Below are 22,251 nucleotides of genomic sequence, written 5' to 3' on the forward strand. Positions count from 1 at the left end.
GTCAGAATACGGCAATGTGAGAATAGTCATTTTCACCTTTTCTGAGATATGTCTTTGCTAAAGACAGGAAATAAAGTAGCTTCTATTTTCTCTTCTCATGGCATTGGCAGATGGAAAAAGGATACATCATGAAGGGTCCATGAGAAAAGAAACCATCCTGAGGAAAGGGTTTGCTCATTTTATACGTTGCGGTGAAGTCACAGTTACTGCTGATCATGGGAAGTAGGTTTATAAAGGGAAAATGAAATCCATAGAGAATACTAGGATCACTCTCTCTCCACCCCGCAGGATTATTCTTAATCCAATGCTTCAATCTCCTGTCATTGCTGCTTTACTCAGAAGCTCCCACACAGAAAACACAATGATTTGCAATTATGTTCCTTTTCCTCAGAATTAGATGGAATCCTTCGCAAGCAGTGAAGTGACCACACTGATAATGGTGAGCAAGGGGAAAGCAGCAGTACATTTCAGGAGTACTGAGTGCAGGAAAACTTGACTAATCTATGATGTGGTTACCGAGGTGAAAATGTGTCAGATCCTTGCTAACTTTGAAAGTTGGCCGCCTCATCCAAGAAGCTGTCTTTGACCCATGATGCAGTTATAACAGCTGCATTATGGATCATCTGAAACACTTTGGAATAAAAATATTTGTGACAGGCCGGGTGAAGTGGCTCACGCCTGTAATCCCAGCACTTTGGGAGGCCAAGGCCTCTACTTGGTATGGAGGGCAATTTAAAACTTTCAAATTGTCTACTTCTTGAATTTTCCATTTAACAATTTCAGACTGTGGTTAACTGGATAAATAAAACAATGGAAAGGGAAACTGTGGATAAATGGAAACAACTGTAGTCTCAACTTAATATTTTTAAGATCTTCAAAATATTCTGCAATTTAGAGAAAAGTGAGATATCTAAACAAATCCAAGGTGGGCGGATCACGAGGTCAGGACATCAAGACCATCCTGGCTAACACGGTGAAAACCCATCTCTACTAAAAATACAAAAAATTAGCTGGGAGTGGTGGTGCATACCTGTAGTCCCAGATACTCAGGAGGCTGAGCCAGGAGAATGGCGTGAACCTGGGAGGCGGAGCTCGCAGTGAGCCATGATTGCACCACTGCACTCCAGCCTGGGCAACAGAGCAAGACTCTGTCTCAAGATAAAAACAGAACAAAACAAAACTGTGACAAAACTATACAGAAATGCTTAAGGAAAAAGATGACAATCCTGCCATTCTTTCTAATTTAATCATCTTGATAAGTGTGAAGTCTTTTGACAGATTCTCAGCACTTGTGTGTGTATTTGTGTGTGTATGTATACATATATATATATATCTCCACATATTATCACTATATTATCATTAGTTTACCAGAATGAGCTCACACCATGCATACCACTCCAAAACTTGCTTCTTGCATTTAACATTATGAACATTCCTTCACTTAAATATCAAATACAGTGGTCCCCCCTTGTCTGAGGGCCATACATTCCAAGACCTCCAGTAGATGCCTGAAACCAAGGATACTAAACTTGATATAGACTGTTTTTTTTTCCTGTATATGCGTACCTATGATAAAACTTAATTTATAAAGAAAGCACAGTAAGAGATTAGCAGCAGTAAGAATTAAAGTATTAGTAAATGATTGAGTAAAATAAAGATGACTGGACTACAAGCACTATGATGCCATGGCAGTTGATCAGATGACTGAGATGGCTACAAAGTGACTCACAGGTGGATAGCATCTGCAGTGTGGATATGCTGGACAAAGGGATAATTCACATTCTGGGTAATACGAGGCAGGATGGCGGGAGAGTTTATCACTCTACTTGGTATGGAGGGCGATTTAAAACTTTCAAATTGTCTATTTCTTGAATTTTCCATTTAACAATTTCAGACTGTGGTTAACTGGGTAAATAAAACTATGGAAAGGGAAACTGGATAATGGAAACAACTGTAGTCTCAACTTAATATTTTTAAGATCTTCAAAATATTCTGCAATTTAGAGAAAAGTGACATATCTAAACATAATCCAACCTTTCCATTTCTTTCTGAAGAAATTGCTGCATTAAAAATCATTACATGTGCTTTTGTTTTTCTATAGAATAGATTCTCTCAAGTGGAATTGGTAGGTCAAGTTTTAATAGCTTTTGCTAGATGGCCCAAGAACAAATAATTCACATTTCCACAAGCAGGGTTTTGAGAGAGTGCAAGTGGTGCCATATTCAGGGCAGCACTGGCTGTCTTCACTAACTTCATTTTGCCAATTGGATAAGTGAAAGACGTTACTGCATTGTTTTAGATTATATTGCCATGACTGTTTAAGAGGCTAAACATGTTAAATAAGTTTTATTGTCCATTTCAAGTTATGTTTCTGTGAATTGCCTGAAATTTTAGTTTGCTTATTCTCTCTGTTAGATTGTTTCCTTTTCCTCTTTTTAAATATGTTGCTATTTGTATTTTAAGGTTATTAACCCTTGGTCTGCCAATCATATACATTGCAAATATTTTTCGTTTAACTTTGCTTACACTGATTTTAGCCGTATCAAACTTATATAACTGTTTATGTATATATTCTTCTTTATGGCATCTGCATTTTTTGACTTGCTTTTAAAGATCTATTCTGCCACTAGGTTATTTAGAAATTATTGGAAAACTTGTGAATTGGGACTCAGGGTAATGAGGAAATAACTTAATGAGATTATTTATTTTAGATATATTAATAGAAATAACGTGATGATTTGAAATGGGACTGTAATCATAAGAGCAATGGAAGAGTCCCATAACAATTCAAACTAACCGGGTTGGAGGAAGGAAATTAAGATATTGTGCAAGTCAGTAAATAGTTCATTTAAAAATGAGCTATTAAAATATAAATATAAGATGGAAGGGCTAAAACTGATGCTGATTGTCACAAATGTGGGCAGGTCAAATTTCAATATTAAAAAGGCAAAGACTAACAGATTTTGTTAAATAAATCTATCCATATGTTACTTGTGAAAATGCACATAAAGCAAAGCTACAAAAACATATTAAAAATGAAAAGGTGAGAAAATAGCCTGGGGAGAGTCAAACAAAAAAGATAGAGTAATATTAGTACCACATAAAGCAGAATTCAAGGTCCCAAACCTGTCCTTGGGGTCAGGGAGAGAAAAAGCAATTGGTGAGAGGGTACCAAGGTAGCCAGGATGTTAAGAAGTTAAGATTCTGGAGTGAAGGGAAGAGCAAGAAAGCAAGGTAATACTATGAGCTACCTTTCTACTCAGGCAGTTGCCAGTTTGTTAAAGGAACAGATTGAGAGACCGAATAGCTAAAGAGAGTTAGCAGTAGTCTTACGATGTTGAGGATATGAAACTTGAAGCTCAGAGCTCCTCAAAATGGAGAACACGTCAGGCTTTCATCTGGGATCATGAAAAAATACATCCTAGGTATAAAGGCAAACTAGAAATAGACTGGCTTTTATAAGAACCTTGCCTTAAATAAACTCAATCCCTTATTGGATTAAGGGGAACTGTGCTTACTTTAACTGCTGTTAATGCTAAAAGACTCCACTCTGGAGAAAGGCAGTATCAACAAAACACCCAAACATTTTATTTCAGTGTCCAGTATTCAATTAAAAAGAATTACCAGGCGGCCAGGCGCAGTGGCTCATGCCTGTAATCCCGGCACTTTGGGATGCCGAGGCGGGCGGATCATGAGGTCAGTAGATCGAGACCATCCTGGCTAACATGGTGAAACCCCATCTCTACTAAAAATACAAAAAAAAATTTAGCCGGGTGTGGTGGCGGGCGCCTGTAGTCCCAGCTACTTGGGAGGCTGAGGCAGGAGAATGGCGTGAACCCAGGAGGTGGAGCTTGCAGTGAGCCGAGATCGCGCCACTGCACTCCAGCGGGGGCGACAGAGTGAGACTCTGTCTCAAAAAAAAAAAAAAAAAATTATCAGGCATACACAGTACTCAATTAAAAAAATTACCAGACATATCAACAGACAGAATGAAGAGAAAAACAACCCCAAAACTCAGAAAAGAGAAATCCCTAGGTAATCCCACAACCCAGAAAAGAGAGATCCAGATAACTTGTGATTAATATTTAAGAAAATAGATGAAAACATGGAGAATTATTCTAAAAACCTGGAATTTATAAAGAATTAAATGAAAAAATCTAGAACTAAAAGTGTAGGAATTAAAATTAAGAAAACAAGAGATGGGTCTTAGGCAGATTAGAAGTAGCTGATGAGAGGACTAGTAACAGAAGAAGAAAAGTCAGTAAAGCTATCTCAAGAAATAAAAGGAGAAAAATGTACAAAATGTAGAAGTGTTTAACACTGCATGTTCTCACTAATATGTGGGAGCTGAATCGTGAGAACACGTGGACACATGGTGGGGATCAACACACACTGGGGCCTGTTGGTGGGGGGAGGTGGGAGGGAGAGCATCAGGAAGAATAACTAATGGATGCTGGGCTTAATACCTGGGTAATGGGATGATCTGTGCAGCAAACCACCATGGCACACGTTTACCCATGTAACAAACCTGCACATCCTGCACATGTACCCCTGAACTTAAAAGTTGAAGAACAAAGCAAAAAAAAAAATGTAGAAGTGCTTGAGTTATAAAGAACTTAGGTAAAAGGTTTAGCATACATGAGATTGGAGTCCCAGACATGAGGAAGAGAGAGAATGGGGCAGAAGCAATATTTGAAAAGATGGTGACCAAGAGTTTTGTCAAAGTGGCCAAAGTCACAAGTTTAAGAATCAGTACATACACCATGCAGGATAAAAACAGAAACTAATTCACAACTAAGTACATCATGATAAAGTTGCTAAAATAGAGACAAAACATTCTGAAGCAGCAGGGCGTGGCACAAGGTGATGTTTCTGAAGGAATAAAAATAAGACTGACAGCTGGATTCTTACAAACAAAAAATATAAGCCTGGAATGTTGGATTTGCCACCTATGAAGTGCTGAAAAAAAAAAAAGATGACTGTCAACCTAGAATTCTATACTGAACAAAAATGTGTTTGAAATGAAAGCAAAATAAAGATGCTTAGGATAAGAAAAACAGAACAAACGACATGATATTCTAGAGGAAATTCTTCAGGAATGAGGAACCCAGGCAAAATCATGAAAATGAAGAAAGCAATAAACAGCAACAGGGGTTAATATGTGAGAAATAGTGAATAGAATGGCTATAATGATGTCTTATGGGTTTAAAAAAGACATTTAGTAAATAGGGAAAAACCCAAAAGACAACAGGGATAGATGGAGCTAAAAGGTTCTAAAGTTTTTGCACTATCCGAGAAGTGTTACAAGTAATAATTTGTTTTAGACTCTAAGGTCAATAAGGAATGTTGTAATCATTGAAGTAATTTAAAACAATGGATAACAAGCTCATAAAGGGGAATGATGAATTGACAATTCTTGATTAGTCCAAAAGAAGGTAAGAATGAAAAGAAACTAGAATATAGAACAAATAAGAAAATAGCAAATTGTAAGATAACAGATTTAAACCCAAATATGAGTTAACATTATATGTAAAAGGACTAAATACTCCAACTAAAAGACAAAGATGGGGTTAAAAACAAAACTTTATATGCTGCTTACAGGCTAACACTTTAAAGTCACAAAAGGTTTGAAAGTAACAGGATGAAATAAGATATATCCAAAAATGATAATCAAAAGAAAATTAACGTAGCTATACTAAGATCAAATAGATTTTAAATCAAGAAGCATCACTAGATATAAAGTGGGACAGTTAATGATAAAAGAATCAATGTAAAGGTTAAAATTTGTATGCAGCTAATAACCCATGAAGGTATAGAAAATGTAAATGCAATAACTATAGAAGTTAGAAATGTAACTTAAAATACTATTTAAAAAGGAGCCAGGATGAAGAGATTTGGAACCAAGTTCTACATAACCTCTCAAAAACATGTAATTTCTACTTAAAGACTTCAAGACTTAGGGAAAGTGGAAACTTCTCTATCATTTAATAAAGCTAGAAAAAGAAAACTTGTAAGAATCATAAACCAACCAACTTTGTCATACAAACTCAATATTCCAGGAATGTAAGACAGTATTACATTTAGAAATTTACCAAGAGAGTGAACATATCAATAGCTTGAAGAGAAAATATCAATTGAGTCTAAAAAAAGCTTTAGTTACTAGTAGAAGCAAACAAGTTAGATCATATTTTAAAATTCCAGCTAGACTAAGGATCTAAATTAAAAGAAACCACACACAAAGCAAACAAAAAACTAAACCCAAAGCAAAATAATCAAAACAGAAACACTAGAAGAAAACTCAAGAGAATATTTGTGCTGAGTCTCTGTAGGTCCTTCATTAGATCTGCCTTTTTCCTTTTTACATTTTCCGCTTGCCCCCTCCTCAGGGCACACACCTCAGACTTCTAGTATAGATTCTATGTAACTTTTTTTTATTCTTTTGTTTCCTTGTCTTCTCCTACCTTACTGTGAGAGATCTTTGAATGCATATCTTTTTCATCTTGGTCTATACAGTGCCAAACACATAGTAGATGCACATTACAAGACTGGTCAAATGTGGGGGCAGTGGCTCATGACTGTAATCCCAGCACTTTGGGAGGCCAAGGTAGGGGGATCACCTGAGGTCGGGAGTTCGAGACTAGCCTGACCAACATGGAGAAACCTTGTCTCTACTAAAAATGCAAAATTAGCCGGGCGTGGTGGCACATGCCTGTAATCCCAGCTACTCAGGAGGCTGAGGCAGGAGAATAGCTTGAATGCGGGAGGCGGAGGTTGCGGTGAGCCAAGATAGCACCATTGCACTCCAGCCTGGGCAACAAGAGCGAAACTTCATCTCAAAAAGACTGGCCAAGTGGATGGATGAATGATCCCTGCCTGGCACCACCACAATCATTCCAGCCTGCCTGCCTCCTGTGGTGATAGTCTGCCTCTGGCTCTTTCTGGCTATCTTTTGTGCAGTGGAAAGAGCATGGGCTTTGGACTCAGATTGACCCATATTGACTCCTGATTATAAGTGATATCATCCTGTGCAACTGAGTTCTCTGAAGCTGATTTTCTTTAAGGGGCTTTGTATACTACTGGGTCCGTACTCAGTGCTCAGAAACTGTTACCTTACTACTGGTGTTATCATGAAGCCTGAATGAGATGGGGGAGTCAGTGTGGCTGAGGAAAAGATGGTTGACCTTCCCAGCATTTGTCTCACCAATGGCACAGTATATTGGGGTAAAACTATGGACAGTGTATCAGGGTAAAAATAAATAGCTTCATTTGCTCCCTCTGCATTAATCTTGATTCTCCTACTTATCACGCTGACCACCCTGAAAACCTGTCTCAGTGGTCTTCAACTCTGACTGCCCCTTAGAATCACCTGGCCTCACCCTAGGCAATTAAATCAGAATGTTCCCAGGGGCATTTTATGTGTAATTGGGATTGAGTGGTTACTGGCCCTTCACTTTCTTGCTCTTAGTAGAATGAGTCCAACTTGCACAGTCCCAGAAACTACAAGCATTTTCTAGGAGCAAAAACTGTTTCCTAAGGAAGGTACAGAAAGAACAGGGCATGGTGCTGGAAGTTTAGAGTCCTAGTCCTGCTGCAAGTTGGAGACATGATCCAGTAAGCCACAATACCTCTGTATTCTGGTTTCCTCATTTATCAAATAAGCACCATAGAATCTTCTATCTCAAACGGTAATGGGAAATTTAAAATAGGAAGTAGGTAAGACTTTTTAAACATTTGAAAGTGACACAAGTGTGATTTGTTAGTGTTTCCATCAGATGTTCCCATCAGAATTCAATAAAATCCTTGTTGTGCTACTTACTGGCTGTGGGGCTTTGCACAGCTCATTTTGCTTTTTGAATCCCAGTTTTTCCTCATCTATAAGATGGAGCTACTTACTCTTCAAATTGCATAATAGTTCCCATTGCTAGCAGCAAAGAAAACAATGGGAACTAAAATACACAAGATATAGTATTATTGTGTTGGCTCTTATTATTGGTACTATTATTCCAATGCTGTGGATAAGCTCACTCAAGCCCTTGATTTCAAGCGGTGGAATCTCATAGTCTCTCATATTAGCGGATGCTGGCACTGGCGTGGCCATAAACAGGTGCAACACTCCTGCCTGCTAAGCTTTTGGATTTTAAAATGAATGTCAGAGAATCTTTGGTTACCAACCAAGCTGCTGAGGTTGACAGGTACAATTCACTTCACTGCCTGAGACCCGCCCCCTTAGCTTCCATTACCTGGGCTTTTCTGACTATTAGGTGTGTGACAGAAGATCAATACTGGCGAGAGATGAATATATGTAATCAACCTAACAGAAGCAAGTTGAAATCCTTTGGTGTGTGGTATCATAAAAGGAGGAAGGTCAATAGGGACACTGGGTCGGACTGAAAAGCAGCCTTGCCCCAAAGCAAATCCTGGCACTTTCCTCTGGCCCACCTTTTCCCTCCAAGCTACAGCACATGGTACCTTTCTCTAGAGCCCAGAGGCTTTATGTTCTCTAGCAAAGTGGTCTGCATCCTTACGTTGATCATAAGTTCAGTGATTATAAAAGTTGAGGTCTTTGGGAAACCCAAGAATTAGAGTCGTGGACTTGAAAGTAAGAAATAGGGAAAACAGCACAGTTATTTCTGACTTTTTGGCTCTACTGTTTATAGTTTTGCCTGTGCAAAGCAATACAAATTCATGTTGTCAGCCAGTGACATAAACAGATTTTTCTTTCCTGAAGCGAATCTGATAATTATGATGTTGTAACATATCTTGCACCACCCAAAACAGTAGATTGAGGATGTCAGGTTTCAGTACAACAAAATGGAACAAGTCTTTTCAGAAAGCACGAACTGTCATTTCAAATGAGACTCTGAAATATGTTGCCACTTACCTACTGATATGGTCCAAACAGCAATGATTTTCAGAAATGCCTTAGTTCTGGAGTTGAAGCGGCTGTGGTGGATGGGATTCTGGATGGCGACGTAGCGGTCCAGCGAGATGGCGCAGAGGTGCATGATGGAGGCCGTGGAGAAGAGCACGTCCAGGTAAATCCAGACTGCACAAAGCTTGCTCGGCAGAGGCCACCGGTACCCTATGAGGCAGAAGGTTGGTGTCAGTGAGCAACCCTGTGCCTCCTGGAGCACATGTATCCCTATCCTATGACAATTTCCAGCTCTGGGACAGGCACAGGTGGTGGCAAAGGGCAACACAATATATTTTTAGTATTTGAAAAAAGCCCACTGGCAACTGTACTTAACTATGATAAGCTAGCACTGGCTGATGAATGCAGGGTTTGAAAATTTCTAGTGTCTGGAGTTATGTGAGTGTGGCACGGTAAGCTTGGATGGTCTCTATTTGGGGGTTCTCTTTCTTCCCCCTTACGCCTGGCAAAACATTTCTTTTGTTAATGGCTTATGTCAAAATTTGTGTTTTGGCTCCTCTTCTGGAGCACCTCTCACACTGTACTGTCAGGATTTAGTCACATATTTCTCTGGATTGTATTTCCCTAAGGTTAGTCTCACCTCTTAGTCATTATTATAACCATCCAGTCCCATACAGTGATGGCAATAAATTGCATTAGTGCAAATGACTAAATGACTAAAAATTCAGATTGTGAATATGTCTGTTTGTAAAAATGAAAAATAATGATCTAATAATGCTTTGGGTGCCAAACTCAAATTTGGGGTATGTGTAGGGAGAGCTGAAGACAAGGGTGAAGAAAAATAAAGAAAGGTGTCCTTGCTCTGAGCTTTGTTTTAGGGAGGCATTTCTCAAACTTTAGTGAGCATCAGACTCTGCCACACCTCTTAAAACACACACTGCTGGACCTCCGTCCAGAGGTTCTGATGCAGTTAGTAGGGAGCAGGCTGTAGAATTTGCATCTGAATTAGCAAGCTCCCGGGTGATGCTGATGCTGCTGGTCCAGGGACCACGCTTTGTGAATAGCTGCTTTAGGGTAGTGGCTCTCACCCCTGGCTGCACATCAGTATCAGCTGGAGAGCTTTAGAGAAGGTCCTGATGCCCATGCCAAACCCAGCCCAATTAAATCATGTTTGGAGGGTGGGCTGAGGTGGACATCAAATGTCAAAGCGTTTGCAAAGCTTTTTCCAAGCTCCCCAGACAATTCCAATGTAAGAGATACTGCAGGTCACCTGCTATATGAGGAAGGTTAGAGTGTGCTTTATGGACATAAACAAAGTGTCCTGGTTTTGTGTTTTGGAGGGGGATTAAGCAGTTATGTAAACCTTAATTAGTTTTGATCACAGTATAAGCAGCGGAGTTAGATCTGCCTGCATGTAAGAAGGAAAATTTTAAAGTCCACTTTTCTTATTACAGACCCACAAAGCCGAACAAACTCCAACGCAAACGTACACTCTCTACCAAAATGCCACAAGGGATATTTAGACAAGTAAAGGGCGTAGGTACAAGCCTAATTTACAGCCATTCACATGTATTATTTGCAAAGAGCTTGAGCCGAAAGGAAAGCCTTTTCCTTTGCAGCGCCTTATGGGGGAAGCCACGCTCTGTCTGTTCGGAACAGATGTCGGCCCTCGGAGGGGTTTCTCTGCCAGGAGGCGGCCCAGGCCTCAGTCCGTGTTTCTGATGCGGGATAAGGAGGGGGCATTTCCTTGTGGGAGAAGCCCCATGCCCCACGCCCCGTGGGCTGGGGGAGGCTGGAGGAGCAGCCTAGGGAGGGGCGGGGCTCCGGAGGGAACGGGCTGCTCTCAGAGCGGCGGCCGCCAGGGGGCGCCCTTGCTCCCCAAGCGGGTGACGCCGGGGGTCACCCCACCCTCCAGCCTCTGTTTTGGGTCCCGCTCTGTCACTCCTCCTACCCCCACTGGAGTTTGCCCCCTAGGGGAGGGGGTTTGGGAAGCGAGAATCTTCCCCGGGATGCCGGGGAAAGGGCAGGCAAATTAAATGAAATCATTCCGGTGTGGCATTTAAATGGTCAAGTGAAGGCTGGACTTGGAATGAGTGTTACTAGCTTTGTGCAAACTGGCGCCTGCTCGCCCTTGCGTACCGCCTTCCTCCTTCACATTCTCTAGGGCTGGGTTGATGTTTTTTAATCTTAGCCCCTAAGACTTGACCAGAAAATTTCCCTTTAAAGATAGCTATCATAACCTGTCTCTAAGCTCTGAGTGACTGCTGCTTGTGCCTGTGTCAGCAGTCACAATAGTCTCTCCTTTAAGGAGGTATCTGGCTGTATTACTCATAATTTGGAAAGAATATCACATTCTGGTCCCTTGCTGAGAGGTCTGACTGTTTCAAACTCTGTTGAGAAGAAAGCAAGATTAATCCCTTCCCATTTGTTTCCCACCCTCCTCCAAACCAGACTGGAGGAGTTTATGCATATGCATTTTCAAAGAGTTGAGGATATAATTCAAAGGCACATTTCCAAATTAGCTTCTCTGGGCAGGGAACAATTAAAACTGGAGTAATTCATTTATTCTAATTGAGGTTCTGCATATTTTAACATAAAACCTATTGCACCACTAATGTTCTCTCTGCAAATGTTCCAAAGTAATTGGGAAGGCTTTATCACTCCATTAAAAGTGCTGAAAACTGTGTGACAAAGATTAAAACTGTTCTGTCCTGAAGGCTGGAATATTGGTTGGGAATATAAAGAAGCAAAAATCAAGTAGATTCAGAATGATGGGTAAGTTATTGGTTTATGACTGTATGGGGTAATTTATAAAAATTTCTACATTAAATGTACATGTTTTGAAGCACAAAACTCTCCAATGATCATTTTTACACAGGATGTACGCGTTTTGAAGCACAAAACTCTCCAGTGATCACAGGTCATAGACTGTCTGATTTTTATGTGAAATCCCATTTTAAGAGTAAAATATAAGTAACATAGTAGGCTCTAGTCTATAAACAAAGACTTCTATTTATAGTTTGTTTGCCCCCTGAGCCCCATCTCATCTGCTGGTGGCATGCACATGCTCTTTATTACCAGTGCGAATATAGCTGGGAAACTAATGCCACTCACCATACAGGATGGTTAACATGGACACGGGCATGACAAGGAAACCCAGCAGCATATCAGCTATGGCAAGTGACATCAGGAAATAGTTGGTGGCATTCTGCAGCTTTTTCTCTAGGGACACTGCCATGATGACGAGTATGTTTCCAGCAATAGTTAGAATAATCACTACGGCTGTCAGTAAAGCAGACCAGTTTTTTTCCTGGAGATGAAGTAAGGAGAGACACGACGGTGAGAGGCACCCTTCACAGGAAAGGTTGGTTCGATTTTCAGAGTCGACTGTCCAGTTAAATGCATCAGAAGTGTTAGCTTCTCCGGAGTTAAAGTCATTACTGTAGAGCCTGGTGTCATCATTTAATTGCATTAGGGAGTTCGTAGTTGAGCTCAAAGAAGTATTTTCTTCACAAAGAATATCCATGTCTAAGCCAGAACTTGTAGCAGATGAGGTGTAGAAGGACTAACAGGTTATAGTTTCTGCTCACCATTCACCTTGATGTACCCACACTCTGTAACACTGAGGCTGGTGTACATGCTGTTCTCCCGGGGCTGGATTTTTGTCTTCCATTATTACAATGATAGTTAAAGAACTGAACTGTGGTGGCTGTAAGTTTTCTTCATTCACAATTTTAGGAGAGTCCACTGTTTGGTTTTATTATTTTCTCACCAAACCGAGGACAAAAAAGCAGAATGAACTTTTAGCATAGAGGTTGCAGGGTTTTTTTTGAGCGCTCGGGAAGATAAATGTCCTGGACAAAGAAGAAAAGTTTTATAACTACTGGGACTCTTGTTTAACTATATCTCATTTTGTTGGTTATGCCGATGGTACTAGTTTAGCAACAGTATTATTAAAATAGCATGCAATCAGAAACAGTGGGGATGTACACATTCTACATTAAGAAAGTCAATTAAAAATACATCCAGTGTTAATCCCATAGTAATTGGATGTACTTTGGGTTACAGTTCTCAGCCATTCTTAAGCTGAATTGCCACAGCTGCTGTCAGGAATTTCAGCTCCTATAATGTTGCTTAGCTAATAAAAGGAAAACAAAAAAGTCTTAAGTAAAGATTAGCAGACAACTTTCCTCCCTGGAAATTCTCATTGAAATGATTACATGTTGGCCAAGCATGATTTCAAACCGGAAAGAAAATTACACAGCAATAAAATATAGCGGCATGAGAACTTACATTTGTCTTCAGGGTCCACACATGAGATACATTTGTTATTCTGTGACTCGCTGCATCTCTCACAGTAATTAAACTGGTGTAGAGTCCCCTCTTCTTGATCTTCCACCAGCATAATATGATAGTAATTTGGTTTCTGTTTTGCTGACTTCAAAAACTGCATGCAAGAGCTGAGCCAGCTCCCGCACTGCTAGGATCCTGTTGGCTTCCTCTGGCACGGCTCGGCTGGGTTCCTCCCTCCCTGTGCGGCTCGCCTCAGCAGGCACACATTTAGAAATCATTCACGAGCCCCTCAAAGTCGCACAAAAGAACTGCATGGGAAAGTAGGAAGAGCTGTCTGCACCAAGGGACTCCTGGTTTCCACGGGAATGGAGTAGCTCTCTGACTGTCTCGTTCATTTCATCAGACCTCCCTCTATGTGTATGTCATAAGCTGCAAGGTAGCAACAGCCAGGAGGGCGGACCAAACAGGCTTTTTCTTCTCCCTCTTTTTGCTACATATTAATATTGGGAAGTTTTCCTTTGCTTTTGAGAGAAACTGGAGAAATGGCCTTTTGTGCAGATTCCCATTAAGGTAGGTAAGTGGCACTGTGGTAATTTTTTAGGCTGAAGGGTGAAGAGAGAACATAAATAAGGCTAGAAAACAGTATGTCCTCGGAGTGCTGTGAGTGTCCGGCACTTCCATCCAAAGCCAACAGTGTTTGTGTCCAGAGTGGAATTACTGACATTGGCCACATAGGCTCAGGGTGGCTAGGCACGTCTGTGGTGATAACTCTGATAAACTATTAGCACTATTTTTATTTAATAGATACACCATTGAACTGGCTTATTTTCTTCAGCAGAAATATGCCACCCAGATATTATTCAAAACCTCACATGTGGTAGGAAATAAGTTGGTTTCGCAGTACCAATTTTTTTCCCCCACCAGTAATGACAACTTGCCTTACTTGTAAAGAAAGCCCTTTCCCAAGTAGGTTTCTAAAGGAGGCAGTTCGATCTCTCTCTTTTTGCAGGCATGAAAATATTTTCCTCAATAGTTGGGTTTTGCTACAGTTCTATCACCTTCTGTTCTTCACATTCTCCCTGGACAAATTCAACCACTCTCATGCCTTCAATATGTTTGTGGCCAAGTCTGTACCTTCATAGCTGATTATTTCTCTCAGTTCCAGACCTAAATCTCTAGCTGCCCATTGGCTCCTTCCATGGTAGCCTGGGAGACCTTGACCTCAGCATCTTCCCTCACTCCGCATCCCCCTGCCCGGCTCTCAGTGCTTGTTCCTACCCATTGGCTTGCATGATGGAATCACCACCTCTTCAGACAGCTGCTGTTATCCGCGACTCTTCCTTCATTCTCGCTGCCAGATCCCACTTCGTCTCCGGTGCTACCTCTGTATGCGTGTTTCTCACATGTCCTCTCCTGCAGCCTGCAGCTGGCACCCTGTGGTCGAGATCTAGCCACCTATTTCCTGGGTGGGTGCCTTAGTGCCCCCCTCACTGCCATGCCTGCCACCCTCCTACCCCTCCACGTTAAATATGCACGCTGGCGAGCAGGCAGCGGAGAACACAGACCTTAGAGTTCCTTGGTTTTGGATCCTAGCTCTATCACTCATAAACAGTAGAACCTCGCCTCATCTAGTTGCTCCCTTTAAAGCTCAGTCTTCTCACTTGTAAAATGGGATAATACCTTCCTCATAAGATTGTAGTGAAGCTAAACTGAGATAATGTGTGTAAGTATTTGGCCCATGTCTGGCTTATAGGAGGTTCTCAAGTAATGTCAGCCACTTTCATTCCTATTGATATTCTTACTGATATTAATGACACAATTGGCATCACTCCCATGCCTACACTCCTGCAGTCCCTTCCTTGTGGGGCACATAACACTTTTCTTCATCTACCTGTACCCTGCTTGCCCCACTTTGCAGGCCTGGACTCTGGTTACTCTCCCAGTCAGCCTGTATGCAGACTGAACTTACATGTTTCTGACCATTTTTATGTCTCTGTACTTGTACTTCCCTGTGCCCGGAGTGCTCTTACCATTCCTTTTTTGTGTGTGTCCATCTGGCAAATTCGTGCTTAGTTCCAGAGCAGCTCTGGATCCCAGGCCTACCACTCACCACATCTGTAAGCGTGATTAAGCTACCTAATCTCTGTGTTTTAGTCTCCTCATCCGCAAGTAGGGAACATTAATAATAAAAAGACCTCAGGATTGACGTGAAAGCCAAATAAATTTACATATTTGCCTGGCACATTTTAAGCACTCAATAAAGGTTAGTTGCTATTATTCTTACTAAGTTTACTGTTCCTAAGCTTTCTGTAGCCCTCCTTCCCAGTGGAGGCAAAGACTATAGCACCTTCTGCAGCCTTCTATTTTTAACACATCATGTCTCATGTAAGCCTCATAAAGGCAGGAACTGTGTCTATCTTGTTAACAGCTGGGCGCATAGTGCTTAAGTATGTTTGTTGAATGAATGCATGACATCTGTGTAAATGTCTGTCTTCTCTATTAGATGTTGAACTTCATTTCCATACCCTTAATATAGATGTAATCTATATTACATCTATCTTATACTATTATATTATCCACCCAGATGCAATTCATAAACCTCACATGTGGTATCTAAGCATGGTATCTCATAATGGAAGGTCCTCAACAGATGTGTTCTGACTGAATTGTTATTAGCATAAATTAAGATGAATTGATTATTAAAAAGGAGAACCAGGGAGAAACTTAGAACCTCTCATTTTTTCTTGTTACTTTGTTTATTGGGATACCAATTTAATTTTATTAAAGATAGCAGAGGGAAATGTAATATAAAAAATACTCCAGTGTCAGGAAGTTATTCAAAAGTTTTCTGAGGTTAAATTTTATAGATGTTCTTGTTATAGCTCTTAGAGAATTCTGATGATCTCAGTCCATTATTTCTCATGAAGAACAGCTAGGCTTCTAGTCATGCCAAAACTAATCAGTGTTTCTTATTATGTGGTTTACACTGGGAAATATTTTTTTGGCTACCATCTAAGATTATTTCTAGTTTTTATTGCAATTTTATGAATACTTGTTATGGACAAAGCAGTAGGGGCATAATCTAGGCTCCTGATTCTTAAACAGAGCTTCTAGGTTAATAGCATGAGGGTTAGATTAGGTAGGAATAGTTTCTTGCTGGGCAGATGCCCCTGTGAGTTTGGTGAGACGAGTGTGTGTTGGCTGCTGTAGTGCGCACCGTGATGCCTCGCCCAGCTTCTGCTTCAGGGCTGAGACTCGGGCTCCCTGCTGCTGGAAGGATTGGTGGCTGGCTCTCCACTCTTTCTGTGAACACTCCCCTCAGCCAAGGAAGCCAGCTTGCCAGTGGTCATGCCCCTTCTCTGTGGCAGCCAGCATGCAAAGACTGGTCCATTGTGAGGATATAAAGGGCTGGCCCTCTTGCCTGATGGCTGAAGAACTTTGGTTCCAGTGCTTCTATGGGATTCACTGAGGCCTTTGTTGTGTCAAATCCAAGTTAAATATCTCCCCTTGTCCAGTCTGGCTTCTCTTGCTCCCCTGCCGGTGTTGATCTGAGAGCTCGCCCCACACAAATCTCTTGCACACACATCAGTCACAGAGTCAGCTTCCTGGGGAGCTCAACCTATGACCTATCATCTTTAGCTGTGTATTAATGCCTTGAATAACATCTCTGGGTGAGTTGGATGTCTTACACAAAACAGATAAGTGTTGTCTATGTGATGATGAATGATGCTTCCTTGCCATAAGCTTAGAATTCTTCAATATACATCTGGCTTTGCTATCTAATTACTGCCAGAAGGAATTTAAGGTTAACAATACCAGAACTATATTTATTATCTTGGGCAGAATTTCTCTAGTTCTTAATTGGACCATATATAGGAATACATTTTATAACTAGTTCATTTTGGAAGATTCACTAGAAAGTGATTGCTTAAAATTAGATGTTAATATTTTCTCAATGACTTCAGTGGTATTTGTAGCCTTTGTTTGAATTTTTTTCCAGGCTAAAGTTATTGGGTTTCTGAAACTGTAGTGTCTTACATATGTCAATGTATATGAGAAAAAAAGGTTCCTTGACCAATTAAGTCTGGAACATTACTGTATCTTATAGTCTCCTCTTAGAAATATACAGTGCATAATTGCATATTAAAAGCTGTAAGAGATCCTGCAGTAAGGAAATTTGTTTATATTTATTTCATTCCTCTTCATCCAGAACACTCATTGAAAGACACTTTAATTTTGTCTAAATTGAGTTATATTTTAAATTTATTAAAACATAATGCTCTTAAGTATACAATTCACTGAGTTTGACAAATATGTACACCCATGTAACCATCACCCAAATTAAGATATCCACCATTTTCATCATTTTTGAAAGTACTCTCCTATCCTTTTTTGACTTTAACTTAAATGGACACATGTGGCCCTCCTTCCTAGTGGAGGCAAAGACTGTAGCATCTTCTGCAGTCTTCTATGTCACGCTTCTTTCACTCAACAGTGTATCTGTGTGTTCATCCATGTCACTGTGATTAAATGATTATTTAATGGATTGTAGTCTGAGAAACTGAAATGGCCTGGACATTTGGGGTTTCAACATTTATTTTTTTTCTTGTTCAAAGGAACATAGAATAGGTCCCTTTTCTTTGTTACGTTTGTCCTTTTTAAGCTGCTTAATTTTGCAAGACAGTGCCAACCTTAACCTTCACTCAATTGATTATGCCTGATTTTGTTATGAATTGGCAGCATAGAATTCTTTTACTCTATGATATTTAAGAATATGTCTCTAAGATTTCTGCTGCTCAAACATTACTAATGGCCTGAGAATGAGGAAAAAAATATTAACAGAGGGTTTACTGACTGACATTTTATCTATCACTTCCTTTTGGTGCTCTGATACTTAGGTTTGGAACAAGCCAGACCATCGGACCAATGTATATTTAGAAAACAATATCATGAACTGCCTTCTATTATGGCACTGGCTTGTATCTAAAAAAAAAAACTACTTGAAATTAGCTAATGACTGTCATCTATCTTTTTAATTTTCTCACAGTGGCACCGAGTTGAACAATATTCATTAATTTAACAGTTGATAATTGACTGCTGTGTCAAGCACTATTATAGGTGCTGAGTATAACCATGAAGATGAGCATAGTTCCTGCCTTCATTCATTCAAGAAATAGTTGGCAGTAGCATGGATGAGTACAGAGTTTAGGGAAGAGACATCAAATAGCCAATGGCATATTGGTATTTAAGGTATGCTACTAGGTGAAATCATCTAAGAGAGTGAGTGGAGATAAAGAAGGGAAGAGGTCTGAGAACTCAGCCATGGATTACTGCAATAGTTTAGGTCAGAGAGTGTGGAGGAACCTGCCAAGTAGAATGAAAAGGGGCACCCAGTGAGTTAGGAGAGACACAAAGAGAAAGTGTAATCCTAAAGTAAAAGAAAAGAAAGATGGCCAAGAAGAATGAGTATGCAACTGGGTGAAATGCCTTCTGACCAGCTGAGTATAATAAGGACTGAGAAATCACCGTAAAATTTGTCAAAATGGTAGTCTTTGGTGGCCTTGATAAGAACTGTTCCAGTGGAGTAGTTGGAATAACAGCCCAATGGAATGGGTTCAAGAGGGGAGGGGGAGGGAAGCAAGAACATCAGTTTCAGGTGAGAGATGGTGTGGCTTTCACTAGGGTAGTGCTAGTGGGTTTGTGAGAAATGGTCAGATTCTGCGTATGTTTTAAAGGTAGAGCCAACAGAACTTGATGACAGATAATGATAGGATATGGGACGTGAGAGAAAGAAGAGAGCTGCGTCACTCTGAAGGTTTTAGATCTGAGCAACTAGAAGAATGGGGCATCGTCCTTAACAGAAATAGTCAAGGCTTCAGTGGGAGCTTACTTGGGGTGATTATCAGATCAGTCTTGGATATGCTAACTTGAGGTCTGTGTAAGACAAATAACTATGTCTATAAGACACTGAGCATAAGAGTCTGAAATAGAGTACAGAGGTCCAGGATGCAGATATAAATTTGGAAACTGTCAGTATATACGTGGTGTTGAAAGCTGTGAGGTAGAATGTGATTCCCTAAATATCCGAGTAGAGGAAGAAGCAGTTTAAAGACTGAATCTGGAGCTTCTTCAACAGTTAGAGGTAAGGGGGATAAGAAAGACGTGGCAGAGGAGACCGTGGGGTTGGTGAGGAAGGAGGAAAAGTGAAGAATGTGGTGTTCTAGGAGCCAAGATAAGAAAATATTTCGAGGAGGAGAGCGACCGAATGAAATACAGTGAAGCTGCTAAGATTCATATACTTGAAGAGCATTTCATTATGTGGGAAATCGTGCACAAGCTAATGTTAAATAAGAACGAGCTCTATAGTCCATGTTCTCAACTTAAAAAAACCATGGATATGTGGTTCTAAACTAGAAGGAAGTACATTCAAATGTTGACAGTGATATTTCCTGGGTCAAGGAGTTGTGATTTTTTTTTTATTTCAATGCTGATTTCAAATTTTGTAAATATTCTGAAGTATACATGTGTTTATAAACATAAAATAATTATTTCAAAAATATTTAAATTAAGTTCAGGTAAAAGAGGGTCAGAGATGACCTTATCCTTTAACCATGGCTGAGACAGACTGGCTTTAAGGTAAAATTTTTAAACTGCTTGTTTTTGTTAGGTGTGGCAGTTGTATTATTCAGAATTATTATAGACAAATGGCAGACATCCAAGTCAAAAAGGATCAAGGGAGATGTGCAAGTAATTGACAAGTCCAAGGTGGGACTAACTTAAGGCATGGCAGGATCTAGTGGCTAAAAGGACCTTATTAGGGCTATGTTGCTACCTCTAGAATCTGCTTCCCTTTCACTGACCTGATTCTCTTCCTCTATAGGTGACTTCTTTCATGTAACTGGAAAAGGTGGTGGTTGGCAGTTCTGATTTTACATAATTGCAGGCTGTGAAACAGGATTTAACTCTGCAGTAGAGTATTTTTCACTTGCAGACGAGACCCTGGTTAGACCCACGTGCCCATCTCTGAAATGAACATGATAGCTAGGGGAATAGAGTACTCAAATTAGCCAGTCTGGGTCACCCTGCCATCCCTCTGGGCAGGGGATCAGAGCAACATGACTTACCAGCTTCACTGACACTGCAGGAAATGGACCCTTTCCCAAATAAAAATACAGGCCTTTTGTCCAGGCCTGTAAAATAATGACTCTCTATTAGCAGAGGGTACATCCTTATCTATTTTTTGTTGTGTTTTTACTCAGCTACATTGGCTCTGGTGTCTGAGTCATACTTGGTTGTTTCACGAGGCATCACAATTTTTTTGAGGTCACAGGGAGATCATTTTTTACATTTTTACTCTGGAGGTAAATAGCACTTCAGCCAGTCAGTGATCTAAAAGTGTGTTTCCCAAAATATCTAATTTACTACCAGGCATAACCTAGGTTTTGGGAGAAATGAATATATTATCACTTAGATTCTCATTACAGAGCAAGATGATTACCTTTCTTATAAGAAAAATGTAGAACTATTGGAGGAAAAATATTTTTGCTAGTCCCAAAGAATTACCCTCACACATTTTTGCAGGTGCTTATTGGTTGAATCATAAGATATTTGGCCAGGATCCCAAATTTTGTTCTGGCACCAACTGTCAGGTGTCTGTGGCTGAAGGGACATTCGAGGTACATTTACCTCTTATTCTTAACGAGGGCATGTAGTGAACCAGACGGGACCATTTGGGTTGTAAGGGTTCTGTTTTCCTGGTCAGGGCCTGGCTAGCAGCCTGTTAGATCTGTCCTCTGAGCCCATGCCAGTTCCCACTTCATGCTGTGGGGGATGGGGAGAGACTGATGGTTCAGGTACTTCCCACTGGAAAGAGGAGCCTTTTGGACCAATTTTATCAAACCAGCTCTATGAGAAAAGCGGCCTATGGGAGGAAAGAGACACACCTAAAATGAAAATAATGAGAGTTCTCTACTCAGAGGATAGATTTTTAACCTCTTTGCTGCTTTCAGTGATCTGTTAACAATATGGCCTAATGGTGTCCCTGGTCTTGACTCACGTTGATGCTCTCCCTCCTTTGTGATGAGTGGCAGTTTGGGAGAATGGAAGTCTTGAATTTTGACTTCAGGGTAGAATGGGCAGACCAGATTCTTGGTTTCTCTGCATTCCAATGGCTTCAGCAGCCACAGGTCAATCAGTATGAATATGAAATACTGCCTTCTTTGGGAGTTTCCCAGTATATCAGAAAATTCAAGTTCTCACCTTCATGAGGATACTTTTAAGAACCAAATTATTGTTCCTCTGTCCACCTGATATTGATGACTTAGGCACTTAATCCCCTCAGAGCCTTTTACCAATATCTCAGATGGGGTCCTAGAAACCACTGAAATGGATCAGAACATTATCTCAATTTAGTTGAAATTACTCTTCCTGTTCTATTTTCCATCTCAAATTATGCTTGACGGTGTTGTCCAGGATAAGGTTGTACATTGTATTTCAATATGTCTGGTAAGACATGCTCCATAATTTTGGAGTAAAAAAGATAAATATTTGTAAAAATTAATCATTTGGTTTCCTATCTGCCCTTAAAACACGATGTCTAGTATCTCCCTTTTGAAGCCCATTACTATCCCCGCTTCCCCCCAGATTGATGAAGGACTCTGGAGTCTCTGACCAAAGAGGTCAGTCCCACACCAAACCTTATGTGGAGGGGTAACTGATCAGTCCTCCATTGCCATTGCTTCTTGCTGCCACATAGTGTCTCTGTTGCAGCCTTTTCTGCCCTTTTCAAGAAAGTTGATTTGTCATGGAATCACCTTAGCTCCTTGGCATTCTGCAGTGGTTAGGTGGCCAGTACAATTCTTCATTCATACTCACGTGGTGGCCATTGGCCCTAGAGTACAAGACTATGATAGGGTGACTTGGTTCTGGGATCTTCCTGCCAGAACCACAAATACTTAGGCACCAGGAGGTTGTGAATTGTCAGAACAAGAAGGTTGAAGAAGACTGGACACTAAATTTCTAGAATCTCTGGAGGAGAAATATTCATAGAATGAGTTGGCTTTGATGTCCTTGTAGGTCCCTTCCAA

At 40.5% G+C, this 22,251-nt stretch overlaps 1 protein-coding gene across 3 annotated transcripts in view, besides 1 other annotated feature; it reads right to left on the reverse strand.

The window, feature by feature from the left end:
* Positions 1 to 14,574, reverse strand: part of HTR2A (5-hydroxytryptamine receptor 2A) — a 66,537-nt gene extending 51,963 nt beyond the window's left edge. The window contains exons 1-3 of one of the 3 annotated variants that reach the window (NM_001378924.1): positions 14,444 to 14,574; positions 11,987 to 12,726; positions 8,882 to 9,082 (exon numbers count right to left, since the gene is read on the reverse strand). In NM_001378924.1, coding sequence (NP_001365853.1) covers positions 8,882 to 9,082; positions 11,987 to 12,398 — 613 coding nt within the window. In that variant the 5' untranslated portion in view covers positions 12,399 to 12,726; positions 14,444 to 14,574. Of the gene's footprint in view, positions 1 to 8,881; positions 9,083 to 11,986; positions 12,727 to 13,165; positions 13,546 to 14,443 lie in introns of those variants that run through there. The other 2 variants (NM_000621.5, NM_001165947.5) reach the window with 2 other exon arrangements.
* Positions 10,646 to 10,855: a silencer, noted in NCBI's record as "silent region_5328". NCBI's record gives its function as "represses an Ori minimal core promoter by ATAC-STARR-seq in GM12878 lymphoblastoid cells {active_cell/tissue: GM12878}" and the evidence as "EXISTENCE:reporter gene assay evidence [ECO:0000049][PMID:35858748]".

The sequence above is a fragment of the Homo sapiens genome, chromosome 13 (genome assembly GCF_000001405.40).
Source record: "Homo sapiens chromosome 13, GRCh38.p14 Primary Assembly".
Taxonomy (NCBI): Eukaryota; Metazoa; Chordata; class Mammalia; order Primates; family Hominidae; genus Homo; species Homo sapiens.